The sequence below is a fragment of the Homo sapiens genome, chromosome 8, assembly GCF_000001405.40.
Source record: "Homo sapiens chromosome 8, GRCh38.p14 Primary Assembly".
NCBI classification, from domain to species: domain Eukaryota; kingdom Metazoa; phylum Chordata; class Mammalia; order Primates; family Hominidae; genus Homo; species Homo sapiens.
The window spans coordinates 64,878,877-64,902,553 of NC_000008.11; positions in this window are offsets into that span (position 1 = coordinate 64,878,877).

Genomic DNA, 23,677 nt, shown 5'->3' on the forward strand with positions numbered 1-23,677 from the left:
CCCAGCACTTTGGGAGGCCAAGGTAGGAGGATCACTTGAACCCAGGAGTTCGGGAGCAGCCTGAGCAACATAGTGAAACCCTGTCTGTACAAATAATAATAATATTAATAATAATAAAAAAATTAACTGAGGGTGGTGGCTTGTGCTTGTAGTCCTACCTACTCAGGAGGTTGAGATGGGATAATTTCTTGAGCCTGGGAGACTGAGGCTGCAGTTAGCTGTGATCACGCCACTGCACTCCAGCCGGGGTGACAGAGTAAGACCCTGTCCCCCCAAAACCCAAAACAAAACAAAAAAGAAAAACCAGAAATAAAGCCACACACCTATAGCCATCTGATTTTTGACGAAGTCAAAAACAAAAATGCAGTGGGAAAAGGACTCCCTATTCAATAAATGGTGCTAGGATAGATGGCTAGTCATATGCAGAAGAATGAAACTGAACCCCTATGTTTCACCATGTACAAAAATCAACTCAAGATGAATTAAAGATTTAAATGTAAGACCTCAAACTATAAGAATCCTAGAAGAAAACCCAGGAAACACCATTCTGGACATCAGCCTTAGGAAAGAATTTATGACTAGGTCCTCAAAAGCAATTGCAATAAAAAACAAAAATTGATAAATGGGACCTATTAAACTAAAGAATTTCTGCACAGCAAAATAAACTATCAACAGAGTAAACAGACAACCTACAGAATGGGGGAATATTAGCAAACTATGCATCCAACAAAAGTCTAAAATCCAGAATTCATAAGGAAATTAAATAATTCAATAAGTGAAAAATATCCCATTAAAAAGCAGGCAAAACAGACACTTCTCAAAAGAAGATATACAAGTGGCCAGCAAACATAAAAAAAATGCTCAACATCACTAATCATCAGAGAAATGTAAATAAAAATCACGATGAGATACCATCTCACACCAGTCACAGTGGCTTTTATTAAAAAGCCAAGGCCCAGGCGCAGTGGCTCACGCCTGTAACCCCAACACTTTGGGAGGCCGAGGCGGGTGGATCACGAGGTTAGGAGATCGAGATCATCCTGGCCAACATGGTGAAACCCCGTCTCTACTAAAAGTACAAAAATTAGCTGGGCATGGCGGTGGGTGCCTGTAATCCCAGCTGCTCGGAGAGGCTGAGGCAGGAGAATCGCTTGAACCCGGAGGCAGAGGTTGCAGTGAGCCGAGGTGGCGCCACTGCACTCCAGCCTGGGCGACAGAGACTCCGTCTCAAAAAAAAAAAAAAAAAAAAAAAAGCCAAAAGGCGGGGCACGGTGGCTCACGCCTGTAATCCCAGCACTTTGAGAGGCCAAGGCTGTGGATCACCTGAGGTCAGGAGTTGGAGACCAGCCTGGCCAACGTGGTGAAACCTCGTCTCTACTAAAAATACAAAAATTAGCCGGGCGTGAGGGCAGGTGCCTGTAATCTCAGCTGCTCAGGCGGCTGAGGCAGGAGAATTGCTGGAATCCGAGAGGTAGAGGTTGCAGTGAGCCGAGATCGTGCCATTGTTCAATGAGATCGACCCCAGCCCGGGCCAAAAACAGCGAGACCCCATCTCAAAAACAAACAAACAAACAAAAACAAACAAACAAACAAACAAACAAACCCCAAAAAACTATAGATGCTGGCCAGGCTGTGGAGAAAAGGCAACACTTATACACTCAGTAGGAATCTAAATTAATTCAGCCACTGTGGAAAGTAGTTTGCGGATCTGTAAATTACTTAAAATAGAGTGACCATTTGACCCTGCAATCCCATTACTGGGTATATACCCAAAAGAAAATAAATTGTTCTACCAAAAAGACTCATGCAGTTATATGTTCATTGCAGCACTATTCATGATAACAAGGGCACGAAATCAACCTAGTTGGTCATCAAAGTTGAGCAGCTTGGATAAAGAAAATATAGGACATATATACCATGGAATAGAACGCAGCTGTATAAAAGAACAAAGTAATGTTTTTGCGCAATGCGGATGCAGCTGGAGGTCAAATACCACATGTTCTCACTTGTAAATGGGAGCTAAACATTGGATACTCATAGACATAGAGACAGGAACAGTAGACACTGGAGACTCCTGGAGTGGAGGTGGGGGAGGCAATGGTTGAAAAACTATTGGGTATTATAAACATTGGGTAATTTTATTGCTTACTACTTGGGTAAAGGAGTCAATCATACTCCAAACCTCAGCATCAGGCAATATACCCATGAAACAACCTGCACATGTACATCCTGAATCTAAAATAAAATTTGAAAATAAAATAAAAGAGCTGGTAAATGTTGTTGAGCATGAAATGCGACTAAGCTAGATGGTACACATAGAAGATAGTGGTCAACGTGTAATTAGGTGAAGATATGGGGCAGAACAAATTTACCAACTTAGCACGGCCAAGTTACCACTCTATCTGATACCAATTTATACCTGAGGACTTCCATATTCCACATAAGATTTGAGAAGGGGCTCAAAGGCCTAAATTAATGGAACCAGAGGTATAGGAATGGAGTAGAATAGAACAAAACATCTTAGTATGTTAAAGCTGGAAGGAGCAGTAAAATGATCTCGTTTAACTTATTTTTTTCTAATAATAGGAAAATTGAGGACAAGAGAGGCTAATTAACTTGGCTATCACAATCTAGATGACAAGGGCAGAATCGAGATCCTGGAAACCTGTGTTGTTGCTCTAAAGGCAAGGACCATGTCTTTTTGTTTTTTTCAGATTCCCCACTCTGAAGAACATAACACTGTGTATCATTTTGCAAATTATGGGAAATATTTAAAGATGAAAACCAGAAACACACACACACACACACACACACACACACACACACACACACACGGAGGGGGAGGGGGAGAGAGAGAGAGTCAGACAGTGAAAAAGAGAGAACATTTATTTTGTTTCTTAAAGAAATGCTTTTTCTAGTTGTGTTTGTGTTGAGCCAGTAAAAAAATATCTGAAAAAAGTGTATTTGTCTCTGTCACTGTTCTTCCTTAGAGGAAAAAGAATCAAACCTTTGTTCTCTATTTTTCTCCTATCAGACTTAGAGAGGCTTTATTTTGCCTGGAGTGGGACTTCTTGAGGATAGGGCTGAGTGATACCAAGACCTCTTATAGATTTTTCAGGTATACCAGCCGAAGGGCAATTAAAGAGTAAAGAAAAACAAATCTCTTTTAAATGTTCGCTATAAACTTCGCATGTAAACAAAGTGAAGTATTACTTCTGAAAATTAGCAGACTCATTGTGAATATCTCTTAGGCATTTTTTTAAAATTCCCTAAATGTTAAACATTTATTAATTTTTAGTATGTCCTCTAGCTTTGAGTCAAAAGGGGAATTTTTCCTACTTGTACTCATCATAGTAATATGTCAGATGAAAATTATATATGCTGTTATTTAATGAAAAAACATTATTGGTGGTTTGAAAAAGAAACTCATTCTTTTTTATTTTCCTAGAATATCTGTGAAACAACCTACTTAGAAAAAAACACCCACAAGCAAACACACACAGATATACATATACACAAAACCAAATAACAAAATCACTTTCTGTTGCAGTAGATCAAAGATCTAGCTGTGCCCAGGGAAGTTGTTCTGTCTTCTGCCTTCCTTACCAAAGCATTTTGCTTTATTGAGAAACTTTTATAATCCCCAAATCCTTAAAAACCTTAGAAAGAGAAAAAAAAATTTTTCAAATTTTTTACCTTCCCAGTTCAAGTCTTCATCAAGGTATAACATTTTACCATGAAAAAATAACTCCATTCAGTTAACAATTAACCTCTAATAAATTGCATGTGCTTTGAGGATGGGTAAAACATTTCACTTGTATTGGTCATTAACATGTTTATATGGATAGAATTAATTCATTTTCCTATCTGTGTTATTAATACAGCCTTTTCAGGACCAACAAGCCACTGAGGTAAGTCTTGATAGGTGGGAGAATGGAGAGATAGAACCATGGTTGAGAGTTTCACCTAGAAGGGTCAGACCTATGCAGAGCTGCAGGAAAGGATATTGGATAGCCAGAGGCCATGTGGTGGCCCCTGAGCAGCTCAGTGGGTGAGAAATGAGGACCATGAAGAATGAGTGCACTGGTGAAAATTTTTGCTTTTCTCATAGTTTTTTTTTTAATAAGACTCACCCTGAAGATTAACATGTGAACTGAAGTTTTCTTGAAATAGGGTAGAAATGTACAATGCCACCAAATATGTAGAAATAACTATTTTCTTGCCATTATCTTTAGTTTGCATCACAAGGTTGTATTCATTCATTTTTACACTGCTATAAAGAATACCTGAGACTGAGAAATTTATAAACCAAAGAGGCTTCATTGATTCACAGTTGTGCATGGCTGGGGAGGCCTTAGGAAACTAAAACCATGGTGGATGGTGAAGGGGAAGCAAGGCGCATCTTACATAGCAGGAGGAGAGAGAGCGAGGGAAGAGGGAATTGCCAAACACTTTTAAAACCATCAGCCCTCATGAGAACTCCCTCACTATCATGAGAACAGCATGGGGGAAACCAGCCCGATGATCCAATCACCTCCTATCAGGTCCCTCCTTCGACACATGGGGATTACAATTTGAGATGAGATTTGGGTGGGGACACAGCCAAACCATATCAAAGGTTTACATCTTTTAAAATCACAATGCATCATTTAAATGCAGAACTATGAATTTAGAGGTCCTGATTCCACAGGGGAAGGGGAGACATCATTTACATACACCCAAAAATGACACTGTAATTTTTCAAGGGCAGAACTACAGGATTCAAAAGAGCATTTCTAATTGGGCTAAGCCTGTAAACCACTTTCCTTGACATATTATTTTCTCTAGCACGATAGCTTCACACTAAGCTTCCACAAAAAACAGCCTGGACTCATTATTTTACCTCCCACCTTCCATTGACTCTTATCATCCATTGGAATATTCTTTGTCACTCTCCACCACTCTACTGAAATTGCCTCCCCTAAGGAAGGTCCTTCAAACCATCAAACCCAATGAACACTAGTGCCCCTCACTGGTACTTCTGCTGAACTGAGCCAATTTGCTAGCCCAATGTTGGTGGGCAGAGGGCATTCTCTGGTGTCCTGTTTTAGGCTCCATCCAAGGCCAATATGTACCTTAGGAAGTTGCATCTGAGTCTCAGGTTTGGGGCCTTCTCAGGATTCTGTTCCTCCTCCAGTTGCTGGGTTCCCTAGTGACTTGTGCCCAGGATATTTCCCTGCCTTTTCCCCAGGAGTGGAAACATTCTTTTCTCTGCTCCCTTTTTGTGGTTTTCATGGGTCTTCACATGTGTCCTCATGGTGATATGTGCTCTTCCCTCAGTGGCTTAAGAATTTTGTGTTTGTGTTGGGGAGAAATGATAGAAAGATTGGGGCAGGTTTTAGCCTTTTCTGCAGCAGCTTCTACTCCCCTCCCCTAGACCTCAACAAGGAAGGCCTCCTTCAGTTTCCCTCCCTGTTCCCAATCTTTCTTTTGAGTACTTCCTGAGATCCATGAAGAAGAAAAGAGCCCAGCAGTGAATTTGTCTTTTCCTATGTCTATGACTCCCATAAATTCTATAATATCACTATCACACTAGTCCACTTGCAGCATTTAGCATTTTGTTAAAAACTTTAGCTTGATTCTTCCTGTTAGCTTGTATGGACCCTGGGTATGCCCTAGATAGGTAGGTCTTGCATTCTATTTTTGTAGTTGTTATTGTTGGAAGCACCTACCTTTCCTTAGCCTTCAGGCTGGATCACTATCCTGTCACCTTAGCTTTCTCATTATTCAAAAAATTATTGACTTTTTTCTCGTTTAGTATATTATTGTCTTTTTACTGTTTCTTATTCTCCTCAATTAGAAAGACTCTCTTCAGCTTTCTACATTTGAAGTGGAAGCCAGAAGTCTTGCCTTCATTTTCGAAAGGCAGTTTTGATAGGCACAGAATTTTAGATTGACAGGATTTGTGTCCTTTATACTATGAAGATATCTTTTTTCTCCTCTGTGTGCTTATAAGATTTTTTGTTGCTGTTTCTCTGATTATTGTGATATATTTTGCTGTAGTTTTTTCATCTTCATTTGGCTGGAACTTTATTGAATTTTTGGATCTGTGAATTTATAATTTCCATTTAATTTGGAAAATTTTCTATGATTATTTCTTCTCCTTTTGTCTGTCCCCCTTTTCTTCTCCTTCTGGGGTTTTAATTACACTTTATTACTTACTTGGCAATTTCCACAGGTCTCTGATGTTCATTTTTTTTCTGTTCATTTTTCAGTGGTATTTTTCTCTGAGTCTTATTTAGGATAGTTTCTATTTCTATGTCTTATAGTTCACTGATTATTTCTTCTGCAGTGTCTAATATGGTCTTAATTCTGTCCAGTGAATTTTTAATTTTATATATTGTGTTTTTCACTCTCAAAGTCTGTAATATATTTCATTACCCTTCTTATCATGTTCATAATTTCTTCTGCTTTTTAAAGCATGTGGAGTATATTTGTGATAATGGATTTAATGTTATTTGACAATGTTAAATAGTGTTTGATGATTCTCTCAATGTGCCATTTGTCTACTTCTATTGCTTATTTTTTCTCTTGTTTTTGAGTTTTATTTTCCTGTTTCTTTGAATCAATGGTGTTTTCTTTTTTGGATATTAGGCATTGAGAATTTTATAATTTATATTTCTTTTAATATTGTTGGGCTTTGTTTTAGGACACAGTGAAGTTACTTGGAATCAGTTTGTTTCTTTTGAAGCTAATTTTTAAGCTTTTATAGGGCATGTTCAGAACCTTTCTACTAAGGCAATGTCCTTCTAGATTCTACTTGATTCCTCTTACATGTGGAGATCTTTCTACTCTGACTGATTGAAATGTAGAATCTTCCCAATCCTATTTTCAATTCCAAGGATTGTTGTACTTATTCCTTTTCTTTCTTGTAGTTCTTTCCTCAGCTTCTGCTACTTTCCTCCCACCATGTATGTACAGAGCCCTTCTTAGTCAAATATTCAAGAGAAACCACCTGAAGATCTCTGGAGACATCTCTGTGCAGTTCGTTTCTCTGAGTTATTTTTTTCCCACAACAAATTCTAGCACCTTGGCCTTCCTGAACTCCCAATGATGCCTCCTCTACTCATCCGGGCCTCTGGACCCTGATTGGGTTTCTTCTTGCACTGCAGTCTGAAAGGTTTCTATGGGCAGTTAGCTTGAGCAACTATAGGTCTCACCTGATTTCTTTCCCTCAGGGATCATTGTTTTGGGCTATCAACAATATCTGAGAATTGCATTTCATGCATTTTGTCTACTTGTGTAGTTGCTTAAGGTGGGGTGACAAATTTCATCCCTATTAGTACATCATGGCTTCCCAGAACCTGATCCATGTCATACTGCAATTTAGAAACTTGGTTTAATCCAAACATCTGCCCTCTCTACTCTCGTTACTGAGATGCTGGGGGACTGCTGGAAGACATCACATAAACATGAGCAATGTTGACACTATATTTTTACAGTCCTCAATTTCAGCTGTTTTCCCAACACCATTTCCCATTACAGCTATTTCAAATGCTTGCCAATCTTTTCAAGTCCCCAATTCCAACATCTAGAAAGTTTTGTAAGCAAATTAATCTTTTTAATATGCTCCAGAAGAGATTAAGGACATCTTAACGGAAATTCCTCAAATCTCCTATCAATACGCCTAAAATTACAACTCCTTCCCTTATACTCTTTACATATTTTCTTTCCTCTTTTCTGTGATCTTGATCATAGATTGCTACCTTTTGATGTTATGTTTTTCTTTTTAAAATATTTTGCTTGTCATTGTATCTTTTTTATTTTGTCTCACAATATGATTGTTGCAAAAGATTAAAACTTTATGGAAGAGTGAAAGCCATCCCATGCACACATAAAAATTAATAATTTACATTAAAAGTCATCTATAGCTATTTTTTCTGCTTCTGTGAAGTGCCCTCTCAAAGGACATTGTCTATAAACTTGTGAATATGACTGTTAGAGGCCTCTGTGCAGACAACTATTGTCCTTTGAAAACCTAGTATCACAATGCTAAACTCAACTTAATGTTCTCCTTTACTGAAGATCCTTCAGTGACCTCTTCTTTTTTGTGGGGTAAAAGGCCAAATTCTAAAAATGGCTTACAGCACCCCTCATAGCCTGGTCCTTTACTATCTCTCATCTTCAACTACTCAGAACTTTTCCATTTATATGAAAATGAACTGACAATAGACAGATTAATGAGAGAAAATGTTTATAGATTTATTTAATGTGCTTATAGCATGGGAGAATCACAGCAGAATGATTATCCAATAACCTAATGAGGTCTGGATGCTTATATATCAGTCTTCATAGGGCAACAGGACATAAGGGCCGAATGAGTGAATAATTTTCAGGAAAAATGAGTGAGCCCAAAGAGCAATGGTTTGGGACAAAGTTCCTCTGAGCTCTGGGGAAGGTAGCAAGAAGGTAAGGGGTGGAAGTTCACTGTGAACAAAAGTTGTCTTATTAGGCAGATAAAGCCTTCCAGGAAATCTCTTAGAGCTGCTCTCAGAAAAATAGATGAAAGTGTTTCTGGGCATGGTGACAACTCCTACTCTCTTCTCTTCTCCATGCTAAATCTTTTCTGGTAATTTAATGAGATTCCTAAGGAGAGGGTCTTAAGACAGTTGCATTTCTTTTGAAAGAAAGTTTTCTTAGTCAGATAAAGAAATTCCAGAGAGACAGAGAGAGTTCCTCTTACTTGGGGGAAAATAAGAAAAACAGAGAGACAGGGATACAGGGAAAGGTCAGAAAGAGACCGTGGAACTGCGTCTTTAGTTCAACATGTCAGAGAGCCATATTTTGGAATACTGTTTTCTGAGCCCCAAAATATAAGAAGCACATTCAGCACATTTGGCTCTGCCGTCCCATCAATCTGGAATTCTCTTTTCCAGATATCCATATGACTTTCTTTTCACTTCCTTCGGGGATCTTCTTAAAATTCACCTTACCAAGTCTTCTTTGACTACTAAGCATGAAACAGTAATACTTCGTTTCTTCTCTGGTACTCCTCACAATGTTTCACTTCATAGCCCTTAACATCACCTAATATAAAAGATGTTTATTTGTTTAATGATTGTTTCTCCGCACTAAACTGTAAGCCCCATAAAGCCAAGAATGTTTATATTTTTGATTCACTGTTACAACATAGGCACCTGGCATACTAACTTTTTTGCAGTGAGAACTCAAAAAATTGGGATAAATGCTTTGCATTTCTCTTTCATTTATATTTTGTGGTTTCCCAGAGCACAAACACTTGTGCAGTGAGGTCTGAAGTTCTTTCATGATTGCCTAAAAGCTCCATTAGAAAAATTCTCCTCTACAAATCTCAGGTTTTCAGCCCTGGTCATGAGACGGTATTCATTATTTTCTTGAAGTAATTTTATTTCAGGAGCTTTCCCTGCCATGGACCTTCAGGAGACAACTCTAATCCATCTCATTAGGTTTAGGTAACTTCAGATCTGAAGTAGCAAAAGTTGATTACTTTCTTTCCTTCTTGTGGAAAGGTTTGTTTACCAGGAAATGATAACCTTACCTGAATTATAAAAAGCTCCATATTTGCCTAAGAGAAATACTTAAATAAGCCTTCAAATAAAGGTAGATTACTTCAATTAAAAAACCCCCACAGCCTATTATCTGCTACATGTATACATATGTATATTTTAATTTATTTAACAGGATTATAATTTATTATTCTTCATTCAACTGGCTTTCTTTACCTAATCTATTATTAACATTTTCCATGTCAGCACATAAAGGGTTGATTTATTCTCTTTAATATTTGCTTAGTTGCCATTTTATTTTTAAACTCTCCCATTGATTTCCATTCACGGATCTTTTCACATCACTGCAGAGAACATCCTTGTACATACACCTTTAAACTGCCATTTTCCGAAGAAAATATTAAAGGTAAAATCTCTGACCAAAGTGTATAAACATTTAAAATTAGTTTTATTGTTAAATTATCTCCAGATAACTGCCAATTTATACCCATGCCAATAATGTAAATGACTTCATAGTGTCCTATATTCTCACCATCATTGGGCATCATTGTTTTTAATCTTTTTCATCTGATAGCAATGATTATTTAATTTTGCATTTTATATTTTATTTTGCAGTTATTTGATTAATTGTAAAGTTGGGTATGTTTCTTATTTATATTATCTATTTTTATTTCTTCTGTTACAAATTTATTCTTTATAAACCTTTCTAATTTTTCTAATAAGGTGATTCACTTTTTAGTACATAAGTTTTGGAAATATTTCACGTATATAGAATCAAGCCAGTTATTTAAATCATGTGTGTGTTTATCTATTTGTTGATTATCTGAGCTATGGAATTCTAGAAGAGTTTTTCAAAGAGTTCTATTATCACTGTGGCTTTGTTCAGTTCTCATTATAGTCATAACAGCTTTTGCTTTGTGTATTACAATGCAAGGTTATTTGATACATAAAGGTTAAGATGTTTGTATATTTTTGATGGGTTTTAATTCATTGGCTGGGCAGTTTCTACACTACTGAGTCATTAAACATTTTAGTTCCAAAATGTGATATATCTTGTAGTTGTCTTAAGAAGTCAAGGTTGTTCTAAAGTTTTGGCGCACATAAAGTCTTTTTTCTTTGTTTTTGCTCTGTTTCATGAGTTTCTTTTTTATCATAGAGGGGATTTCTGTAAAGTGTGGTTTCTTCTTTCCTGGATTTCTCTATTCCCCACTTTCAAACTCCTATTCTTAACTAACTCTTTCCAATAAGCCTATAATCTTACTAATGATAACTTTAATCAAATAAAAGGAAACAAATGCAAGGAAACCAAAAAATAACTCCCCTCCCTAATTCCTTACTTAAACTTTTTGGATTTTTGTAGTCAAGTTACACAAAAGATCATCTTTAAATTCACAAGTTCCTCATAGTCACCTTTTTTTTCTATCTCTCCCCCTAAAATCTGGGCTCCTTCCTCACCTTGCTATGGAATCTACTCAGGGAAAAGTTACCAGTTACAATTAAATTATCACACCCAACTATTTCTTGTCAGGATTTATATTACTTGATCTTTTCTGCATTTAAGACCATTTAACTCTCTTGGGGAAATACTTTTATCCCTTGACTTTTACCACATACTCACTTTTTGGACTCCTTTGCCACCTGTGTTTCCTCAGTATGCCCTTTACACACCCACGCTCACCTGAATGTATGGCTGCATCCACCCATATGTGGATCATCCTGAGATCTGTATCTGTGACGTAAAATTCTCTCCTGAACTCCAAACACACAGAATGCTGGACAGTCTATGTGGATATTTCAAAAGAAGCTGAGAAAAAACACATAAAACTGAACTTATTGTCTTTCCTCCATTGCACTTGATGCAGATTTCTCAATAGCATGTGAAATTCTCTGTTATATCTATTGGATTGTAAGCTGGTACCCTTTTACTACATCAGTGATATTCAAATAGGGGACTGGGGGGATGTGAGGATCCATAGTCTTTGAGACCCTTAAGGTGGTAATACCTCCAGTTTGGAACTCACTTCTGGAATGTCTTTCCCTTATAGAATGTGGAAGCAGGAAAAAAAAAGGGAGAGGGGAGAATGAATGTCATGGATAATAAATGCTTGAAGGCAGAAACTGAGAGTTATTAATGTTTTGAAGCTAACACAGTACCTGTAGCATGTTAACTAGTCAGTACATGCTTATTGTATTATACTGAACCTAATCTTCATTAAACATTACTTGTAGCCTGAGACTTGGTTGACTGATAGGAGAAAGAAACCAACATTTGTCATGGATAATCCCAATTCTAAACAATAGAAAACAAAAAGTTTCCTACAAAATTGAGAATTTTTCTAATTTGATTGTCTCTAGGAAAAATTTTTTGAAATAAAAAAGATAGTCATAATCTTCATTATTTAATTTTACATTGTCAAGGAATAAAATTTATTGGCACGTTTAACTTGCAGATTTGTCAACTTTTTTATTGGCATGCAAAAATATGTCATATTTTTTGACCCTAGTGTTTCTGCTTTCTCTTTAAACACTGTTGATTCTTTTATTGAGTGCCCTAAAATGTTCTGCCAGTTTTAAACCCAGGAGGCTGGTACCCCATCTGTTTAACTGGAAACCATTTAATCCAAACTGACACTTCTCTTCTTAGGAGGTATTTCCAATGATCTGTGAGACCAAAACTTTCCGTTCTGTGCACATATATCTCTGGATCTGACAACATGTTGACCATGTTGGGGCAAATGCCCAGATGCCCTTGACACCATGGAGGTTGGCTAAATTCTGGCCAACCCTCAACAATAGAATTCTAGTAAAGAGCAAGTCACCCACAAAGAAAGAGGCTATCTGGGAATCTAATTTGGTGCAAATCACACCATTCACATCCTGCTGTGAAGCTAAAGGGAATCTTATGGGTTTAGGTCAGATATAATCCAACCTATAAGTATAATAATCCGGATTTGTTCCAGAATCCCAGGCTCTTCAATGTGGCATTTATAATCGAGAATACACCTACAGATTGGTGTAGAACCAGACTGATTTTTTTTTTTGAATTTCACTTACATTGGGATTCTCCTTGCTGTATGAACTTCTTAGGTGAAACTCTGTGAGCTTCCTAGGGAACTTCTATTTTAAGATTAAGGGTTCTTGGCCAGGCGCGGTGGCTCATGCCTGTAATCCCAGCACTTTGGGAGGCTGAGGTGGGCAGATCATGAGGTCAGGAGTTCAAGACCATCCTGGCCAACATGGTGAAACCCCATCTCTACTAAAAATACAAAAATTAGCTGGGCATGGTGATACATGCCTGTAATCCCAGCTACTCAGGAGGCTGAGGCAGGAGAATCGCTTGAACCAGGGAGTCGGAGGTTGCAGTGAGCCGAGATCGCACCACTGCACTCCAGCCTGGTGACAGAGAGAGATTCCATCTCAAAAAAAAAAAAAAAATTAAGGTTTTTGAACTACTAATATTTACACAGGCTATCAAAACTTACCTTCTTTTTGTAAAGATTATGATTATTGCATTAAAAACTTCTGTTTTAGTCTTTTAATAATCTCTGGTATCTGGATATTGTTTTATTATTTTTTTAGACTAAATATTATGTACCAAGATATACTGTGACTGAAAGCTAATTAGTCCATTTAAGCATCTGCAACTACTTAATCCTTTGTTCTGCGATTTGTGACTGGAAGAAAGGGTCCTGTTTACTCATTACTAGTTTCACAAAAAGATTACTTATTATGTTGTTGTTGAAGCATAGTTGCTTCTTGTCCATTTTTATAGCTCCCCAGTCTTACATTAATTTTTCCCTTTGCCAAAGAATAACTGGTTTGTATAAATGGAGCCAAAGTTTGCTTGCTTCCTTCCTTCCTTTCCATCATTCCTTCCTTCTTTCCTTCCTTCCTTCCTTCCTTCCTTCCTTCCTTCCTTCCTTCCTTCCTTCCTTCCTTCCTTCCTTCTCTCTCTCTCTCTCTCTCTTTCTCTCTTTGAGACAGGATGCCTTGCTCTGTTACTCAGGCTGGAATGCAGTGGTGCGATCATAGCCCATTGTAACCTTGAACTCCTAGAACCCCTGGGTTCAAGTGATCCTCTAGCCTCATCCTCCCAAGTAGCTAGGACTATGAGCACCCACCACCATGGGCAGCTAATTTCTTTTGTTTTTGTAGAGATAAGGTCTCCCTGTGTTGCCCAGGCTAGTCTTGAAACTCCTGGCCTCAAGTGATCCAGCCTCAGCCTCCTAAAGCAATGGATATTTCTCTTAATACATTTTGTATCCTTTCTATTATTTTACAGTCTTCATTTTATGCAATTCCATCATCTTTTGTATCTTAGTGCGTGTTTCAGTCAATATATCATTGAATGCATTTCCTAAATATTATAACCTTAAAATTTATTTTACAAATGCCTCAACCTTTCCTCCTTCCCCTAAAAGTCTCCTTCTCTGTGATACACTTATTGTTTCTCTATGGGCTTCAGTTTTGTGACCACTGAATGGTACACATCAGACTCCTTGGGGACAAAGTAGGTGAGTTTTCATCTCCCAAAACACTTACTTTAATACATAAATTATTCTATGGAGGTCTGTGACTTTCTTGCTCTTACTATTTTTGTTTTATTTGATTCAGGTGTGACCTTAATGGCACATTAGTTTAGGCAACTTGCCTTATTATTGGAATTTCCCAAATTTGTGGAAGAGATTAGGAGGATATGTGATTATCAAAGTGAAGAGAAGAATCATGTTTACCAAGACATAAGCCCTAGAGTATTTCCAAATTGAGGCATAAAAGGTGGAATAAAATAGAGTAACTTATGTAGAGCCACTTTCCTCCCTCCCCCATATGCATACTCTACTAGCAGAAGTTTGCTCTCCTATCACATAGGCTCCCTAACATTCCACTGTGTCCACCATGCCTAGAATTCCAAGCTGCTCTTGTTTTTGTCTTTTTGTTTTGTCCAACCCTCATGACCCCATGAATCTAAAAAATATACCTCTTAACAAACCGTGGCAGCTTTTATCAGATAAAATTTAATTTTATTAGGTGGCAAATAACCTATATAACCTCTAATAAAGGAGCTGGGAAGAATTATGCATGAGGGTACTCATAGTCTATCTTCCTCTCCCCCATCTCCCAGCATGCATATACATACTCAAACAGTAAAAATCAACGTATTTCCAAATATCTGACTTATTCATTTATTCATTTACCACTTTCAACAATGGAGCAACTTTATGTGCCAGCCCTGTTTTTGTATTGGACACACAGTGATAAATATAAATAAAAATAAAAAGAGAGGCAAGTGCTACCCTAAATTTTAAAAAATGTTCACCAGCATGATTTGTAATATTTCATCTTATTGATTCTCAGGTAAAAAAACTAAAATGAGAAGTTGAGAACAGAAATCTTGACTAGAAGGTAAGCCCAAATTTGGCAGTTTAATAAAAATGTTAACATATAATTGAATATAAAAATAAATATAAGAATATAGCATAGTTCTTGGTCCAGAGAAAGTAGTTGACAAATATCCATTTTTCTATTATATTATTGCTATTAATACTAAATCATATTTTTTGCAACCAAAACATTTAGAAACTATATTTTGTTATTCATTAAATGATTAATCTTCTCCTCTTGCTAAGATACTTAAAAATCTTAATTATAAGAAAGAGAATTAAGACACTGAATTTAGTGCCTACTTGTTCTACTAAAATAGTCTTATGTGGGTGTAGAAGTTTTGAAAGTTTTGGAACTGCACAGCATAGTTTGAAGAAGCTGACATCTTGACAAACTCTGTATTTCAGAGGTTTGGATGAGATTTTAATTCACAAGAAAAGATGCTGAGATAAATATCTTAGTTTGTAAACCCCTAAACTTTACATCTTTCTTAATTTGTTCTTCCTGTATTTCAAATATCTTCATCACAAAACAAAATGGCCTTACGTGGCCACTCATATTCGCTGAACATTTTTCTATGCTTTTGTAGAACCCAGTATTGTTTTCAAGACACTTTTCACATTTTAAAAATTATATACTGGTATAATTAATAGACTAAGATCTAATTTCTCCATCAGACTACAAACTCAGGAAGGAACTGGGTCTGTCTTTTAATCCCAGTTGGATCTCCAAGTCTAGCATAATGCATGACATCCAGTAGGTTTTCTATAAATACTTATCAAATAACTGAAATTTATAAGTCTTATTTCTTGGCCCATGCATTTGATATTCATGACACACAACTAGAAAAACTACGGATTTCAAAAAATATGGATTTCTTTAGGTGCCTCTCAGCTACTGGTGGAAATACTGGAAGATTTAAGATTTTATTTTACCAATTTCCATTCACGTTAGTCCTGTCATTCAATCATTCATTCAGCAGTATTTCTTGAGTGCCTACCATGTGCCAGGCACTGTTTCCAGAGCTGGGAAGAGTCAGTGAAGGAAAGACAAGGGCTTGTCTTTATAGAGCTTCCATTTTGGGAACAGCTGTTTCGTGGATCAATGCCTTTAAATATTAATACCAAGATGCAGCAAAACTTTATTGTAAGGTCCAGTATTTCTAGCTGTCTTAGTTTTAAAGAGGTTTCTTGCCCAAAATAAATATTTACGTCTAACAATTCACACCTGACAGCATCACCCCATTGAATCTCCCCAAACAGTCTTGCCCTCCTCTTAGTTAGACCAGAGGGTAGAAGCCTCCAGGCTTCACGTGCCATCTCAGGACTAGCAGCTTAGAAAACAACTGTTCAGTATGGGTATCTTTTTCTACAGACTTTCCCAGTATTCTTTCAGACTCGGTTTCTGTTTTTGTTTACTCTGTGGTACCTTCACTGTGTACCTCAGGCTACTGGCAGAAATAAGCATCACTTAAAAAGTAATTTAGGAAATAAGTATACTCCCCCTAGGGTGCAAATAAAAGGAAAAGTTGTGGTAAACAGCTAATGTAAGCAAAAGGTGCCTTGGGGGAACCCTAAGAGTCACTTCTTTCAAACCAGCAATAACTTCTGGTGCTATTGGTCCTGAGGCAGCAGCCGTCAACATTGTTTAAAAAAGCTCCCTTATGGTCTTCTCATTAATTAACTACACTGTTTGTTGATTCTAGATTGATTCAGTTTGTTCTCTGGAGAGTGTCTGTGGAAACTCAGTAATGCCTTGATGCAAAATTTCATCTTCAGGCCCTAAATTCCCAAGGTGGTGGTTTACCGGGACGTATAGAAGACGAAGCGAAAACGAGAATTTGTTAGATAAAAATGATAATCAAAATATTTTAAATTCAGATGTAATTTTTGAAGATTTTCCCCACAGAGCTAAAAAATTACCTGAAGCAAAGTTTGACTGACAGGCCAGCTTAACAAACACAACAAGACAAATGGCATGCAAAACAGATAGGGACGTATTTGTTGCTAATTACTTGAGAAAGCATTTTAATTAAGTTGTTTGCCAATTAATGCCTCATTTTTAACATTCCATAAATATTTAAACACGTTTCATAAACTTTTCCTTCTTATGGAAACATTTGCAAATGTTATTATGGAGTTTCTTTGGGAATCTCATAACAGAAAAATTGTATAGTTTAGAAGATTCTATTTGCCATTTTCATAAATAAGTAAATTATTATCTTTAAAAAATCTTGGTAGCCATTATATTTTAAAATAGTCTATCTGCATAATCTCTTTTTCTATGTTATGCCATGAAGAGTGGATGAATATAGGCTGCATATTGTTTTGATCTTGTCATAAAATTTGAAAATAACATGAGGGCATAGAGAATAGTATGTTCAAATTGAATCTTTTAGTTAAAAAATGCAAGAAAATGATTTCTGATAATTTCTTATTTTTTATTTATTATTAAAAAAATTTTTTTTTGTAGAGATGGGATCCCACTATGTTGCCCAGGCTGGTCTCACCCTGCCCTCAAGTGATCCTCCCACCTTGGCCTCCTAAAGTGCTAGAATTGAGGTGTGAACCACTGTGCCCAGCCCAGATAATTTCTTAACATTCAATAAATAACAATTATTCATATTTAAATCATCTTCAACCTAAAACATACAAAATGCTACTTTCCCAACTAAAATAAAACAAAATATAATATATGCAAGCAAAACAGAAAATTTTCACTGGTACCAAGTTTGGACTTAACTTGTAATATAGACTATCATAAACTCAACCAAAAATATCTCAAGCATTTAGCTTCTCTCTTTACTTATTTACCTTTTCATTGGTACAATTATGCTTATGCTTATTGCTTACTTCAAATGATTTTCATGAAACTAATAGATGAGAATAGTGATATCAAACCAACAGGCTCATATGTTCACTGAGCAGTAACAGATCAATTACACTGAGACAGCAGGGTTTACAGCAGAAAAAGAGTTTAATATCTTAGGGCACTGAGTAAGGAGATAGGAGGAGACTCTCAAATCTATCTCCCTGGAAAGTTCTGGGCTGGAGCTTCTAAGGGAATTCTAGGAGGTGAAGGGATGGAAAATTGGGGTCATTGATTGGTTGGTGTAAGGGGTATGAAATTAGCAGGATGTGATAACTGCATTCTTTGGTGAGTCAGCTTCTCATGGGGTCCTTCGGACCAACTGACATCAGTAGTTTCACAGGTATGCAGAGCCTGAAAGAATATCTCAGATGAAAAACTTAGCATTCTATAATGTTCAAGTTGTTATCTACGGAGCAGTTAAGGGGAACTTTTAACAGGATCTATATGATTCTGAGGCAATCAGCACTAAACAGCTATGAGGAAGCAGGTCAGAGAACAGGCTGAACTCATGCTGAATTTGCTGCAAGCTGGATTTATTTTAGCTTCTCCCCCTCCTTTCTTCCCTGAATAAAGTTCAGGGAAGTTTATATACTTTAAATAGGGGAGTTAAAAATTTATAAAGTTTATAGGGATGGGACCATAAGCTTAACATTTAGCCAGAGGATTACGGGCACACACTCCTTCATCAGCACAGGCATTTTCTTATCTAATACATTGACCATGTAATAAATCTCCAAGAGGAAAGGCCTGATCTATCTGGAAGGGGAATGATTAGCACATTTGCTAACTGATCAGCTGTGTAATATGTTAGGCAGCAGCAAAGGAAGGATCCCCTATTATTCATTGAATAATGAATTTCCATTCATTTATTCAATGGAAATCAGAGGGGAGGGAAAGGGGTTTCAAGGGAGTTTTTCTTATAATGAAATGTTTTATCCTTCAGGGGCTATGGGAGTAAGTAGGGCTGATTGAGAGAGGTGAAGGGGAGGAGTTACGGAGGCCCCATGAGAAAACCTGCATTTGTGCAGGAACTTGGGGATAGTAGAATAGCATCTAGTGGCCCATGACAAGGGTTTCTAGGCCACTTATACTCCATTTATAGGTCACTGCCCCAGCATGGGAAAAGCCAAATTGTACCCGTACCCAAATGAAAGAGTTGGATAGTAATAACAAAAAGACTGAGGCATAATAGGAACTCAGCTATGTAAATTGTAGTAACTTGGTTGAGGTAGTCCTGTGACCATGTAAGTTTTATTGTTGCTGTTTAGATGAAAATTAAAAGGAAAGATAATTGTGAGCACAATCAATGGAGAAGATTATCATTTTCAAGTATCCATTAAATTTGCCACATATGACTTTTGGGGAAAGGATGGGGTAAAGGAGTTATTGGGCCACCCAGTGCCTCAGTCTCCTAGAATTTCTTTTTGCTTTGTAGTGATAGAAGTAAGGCATTTGGGGTTATGTGGATGTTGACACACTTCATACTCATCTTAAATGAGTTGAATGACATTATCTCTTATTTTCAGCCTGTTTAGCTTTTTCATTTTAAATATTTTAGTCATCTTGAACTTATAGTTTAACTAGAGTTTAATTAGAAATGAAATTTCAAGTTGTCTTGAAACCATAGGGGAAAAACAAGAAAGAAAGAGAAAATTATCATGTAATGGTTAATTTTATGTGTCAACTTGACTGGGCCATGAGATACCCATATATCTAGGTAAACATTATTTCTGGGTGTATCTTTGAGGATATTTCTGAATAAAATTAGCATTTGAATTGGTGGGTAGAGTAAAGCAGATGGCCTTCTCCAATGTGTGTGGACATCATCCAATCTATTGAGGGCCTGAATAGAATGAAAAGGTGGAAGCAGACTGAATTCTCTCTCTGCCTGACTACCTGAGCTAGCACATTGATCCTCTATCCTCAGCACCCCTGGTTCTCAGAACTTCAGACTGAGACTGGAATTTATACCATTTCCCCTCCACCTCTCAGACCTCTCAGACCTTTAAACTTGAACACTGACCTTCCTGTGTCACCAACTTACAGACTGCAGATTGTGTACCCTATCAGTCTCTGTAATCATAATCCAATACTTCATCATGACAATAATTGCATACGGATATATATTTTCTGTTTTTCTAGAGAAGCATGACTAATGCAGACTTTGATATCAAAAGTGGTTCCAAAGAATAGAATTTTAAGAATGGGTTTTCTAAATTGATTCTGAGGTTTCTGCAATTGCCTCTCTGATCTGATTAGATTTAAAGATGCTACTGACTCTATTTTGTAGTAGTAAAGTGAGTACTGATAGTTCATTATGCAAACCAGTAACAGAAATATGCAAAGTAGCTCCTAACCAAGGGATGTAATAACATTGCTCAGTTGCCCCTAATATTGTTGGATAAAGTGATGAAAGAAAGGATGAGCTCAGAAATTTGAATTCGTACCTCAAGCACCATATGAATACCCAGAAGGTTTCTATGTGGGCCCTAAAGGAGACCTTTATCCCCAGTAGTTGCAGGGCTGAGATTACTGAAAATCAAATGTAGAGAATCTCATTCTGCAACTGGCTGAATTATAATATGAGTTGAACTTACAGCCTCACAGAGTGTCTACTGTTAAAGTAAGAGTATTGATTAGGAAAGAATGGGATGCTGTAAATTGGGTTGGAGACATGTGGGAAGACCCTGATGAAGGTGGGGATATTGAGCCCTTAAATTCTGATTCATCTTCTTTGCTAGTGGAAGAGGTCTTCCCACACCTAGTGGTGTTGGTCTTTCCACCTCTGTGAGTGGTTTAACCCTACATTGCCTAAGGAAACTATAATGGCCTTTCCAGTGGCAGTTGTCATGTAAGACAATGGTGATTCCCCCTCAAGATCCACCCACAGCACCCCTTTTTTCTTCTAGACCTATAAGAAGGCTCAAGTTCTAGCTGCTCCCTAAAGGTGAGGCACAATGTATGACCCACAAGGAGATGTGTTATACTCCAAAGGAATTACTTGATTTTCTAATTTATACAGACAGAAATTTTGGGCATATATGTGGAAATGGATGTTAATGGTGTGGGATAATGGTGGGAAGAACATAAAGATGGATGAAGCTGAATTTATTGATATGAGCCCACTAAGCAGAGGTTCTTCATTTACTATTGAAGCTTGGGGAGCTAGAAAGGGTTCTAACAGTTGGCCCTCTAATTGTTTGGCTGAAACATGGACCGAAAGGTGGCCCACAGTGAGCAAACTGGAAATACCAAATCTGCCTGGGTCTAATGAGAAGGGATTTAAAGACTTCTAGATTGGAATGTTAGAGTGGTATTTGTCATTTAAGACCTATTAACCCATGCTGCAAGGATCCAGAAGACACGTCCATCACCAATACTGTGAGAAATAAATTTGTGAGCAGAGCCCTAGCATCCGTGAAGAGTTCAGTGATCACTCTTCCCTATAGGCCAGACCATACAATAGGAACTGCAGCCACTGAATTGAGAAACTTAAATGGAGTTGGAGAAACTGGATCATGGGGTGACAAGGGCCAAGTAGCAGCACTCAGCTACCAAAGTCAGGTGGATTTGGTTATCATACTGGACAGCAAATTCAGGACAGAAATTAGAATAATCTGACTCTTGCAGGCCTACAGCATTGACTACATGTTTATGGTGTTCCTAGAAATTAAATGCATAGGAAGCTTACTAAATTCTTATTTGATCTATGTAAGCAGAAATGTTCTAGGTCAAGTGAGTGAAAGTCTAATCTGTATAATAAAAGCAGACAGTAATATTCCCCCAATCAATTTCCAGACTTAAACCACTATACAGACCCAGAATCCCTTAAACGATGGAGAGGCTAGATCCCCTTAAGGAATGATCTTGCTACAGCACCAAAAAATATACTATTAATATTTATCCCAACCTTCCCCAAAAAGACCTACAGCCTTTATGAGGGTAACTGTGCATTGAGTAAAAAAAAATAATCAGAACTTTCAAGGACTAGCAGACACTGTCTGTGAACTGACACTAATTCCAGGAGACCTAAAACATTACTGTGGTCTACCTGATTGAGTAGTGGCTTATGGAGGTCAAGTGATAGTGAAGATTTAGCTAAATTGTCTTTTACAGTGGGCCTGGTGAGTCCCCACGTGCATCTTATGGTTAATTCCCCAGTTCTGAAATGAGTAATTGGAATAAACTCAGCAGTTGGTGGGAAATGCCAAGTAGAAGTCACTAGAACTACTTAGGAAAATAGTTAACCAAAAGTAACACTGCATTCCTGGGGAGATTGCAGAGATTATTACCAGCATCAAAGTCTTAAAGGATATGGAGATGATGATTTCCACCACACCTCCATTCAACTCACCTGTTTGTCCTGTGCAGAGAAAAGATAGGCCTTAAAGAATGACAGTGGGTTACTATAAGCTCTACGAGATGGTGACCCTAATTGCAGCTGCTGTACTAAATGTGGTTTCATTGCTTATGCAAATTAACACATCCCCTGGTACCTGTTACACAGGTATTGATCAAGCAAATGCCTTTTTTTCTATACTTGTCAATAAGACCCACCGGAATCAGTTTTCTCTTAGCTGGCAAAGCCAGCAATCACCTTCACTGTCCTCTTAGGGGTATATCAACTCTCCAATACTATGTCATAAGTTTGCAGGGATCTTGATTGCCTTTCCCTTCTACAAGACATCACACTCATCCATTACATAGATGACATTATGCTGAGTGTACCTATTGAGCAAGAAGTAGGAATTATTACAGACTTATTGTTAAGACATTGATGAGCTAGAGGGTGAAAAATAAATCTGGAAAAATTTCAGGAGCCTCCTGTCTCAGTGAAATGTCTAGGGGTCCACTGGTGTGGGCCATGCTGAGATATCTTTTCTAAGGTAAAGGATAAGTTGTTGCATCTGGCCCTTTCTACAGTAAAGAAAAAGGCATAATGACTCTTGGATCTCTGGATTTTGGAGGCAACACATTTCTCATTTGGATGTGTTTAGCTAATCCATTTATGAAGTGTCTAAAAAAATCTGCTAGTTTTGAGTGGGCACTACAACAGGAAAAGACTCTGCAACAGGTCTAGGCTGCTATGCAAGCTGCTCTGCCACTTGGGCCATGTGATCCAGTGGATCCACTGAGTCTTGAAGTAGTGAAGTCAGTTAATGATGCTGTTTAATGGCCTATGGGAAGGCTCTATAGGTGAATTGAAGTGCAGGCCCTCAGGATTTTTGAGCAAAGCTCTGCCATTCTCTGCAGATCACTATTCTTCTTTTGAGAGATAGCACTTGCCCTGCTACTGGACCTTAGTAGAAATCGAATGCTTAACTTTGGGCCGTCAGGTTACCATTCAGCCTCCTATCATGAACTTGGTGTTATCTGACCCACCAAGCCATAAAGTTCGGTGTGTATAGCAGCACTGCATCATCAAATGGAAGTGGCACACACATTAGCCTGGGCAGGTGCTGAAGGCACAAATATATTTCATGAAGAAGTGGCCCAAATGCTCATGGTCCTCACTTCTGCTAAACCACCTTTTCTTTCCCAGCCTCCACCTATGGCCTCATGGGGAGTTTCTTAAAATAAGTTGACAGAAAACTGCCTGGTTTACAGATCGTCCTGGCAAATATGTGGGCACCACCTGAAAGTGAAGAGCTGCAGCACTACAGGTCCTGTCTAAGACATCCCAAAAGGACAGCGGTGAAGGGAAACCCTCTCCATACACAGGACTTTGAGCAGCGAGCCTGGTTATTCATTTTACTTAGAAAGACAAGTGGCTGTAGCCAGTGGTTTGACTGGTTGGTCAGGGACTTGAAAGCAACATGACTGGAAAACTGGTGACAGAGAAATTTGGGGAAGAGGCATTCAGACTTATCTGAATGGACTTTACCTTATTTTCTAGGGAA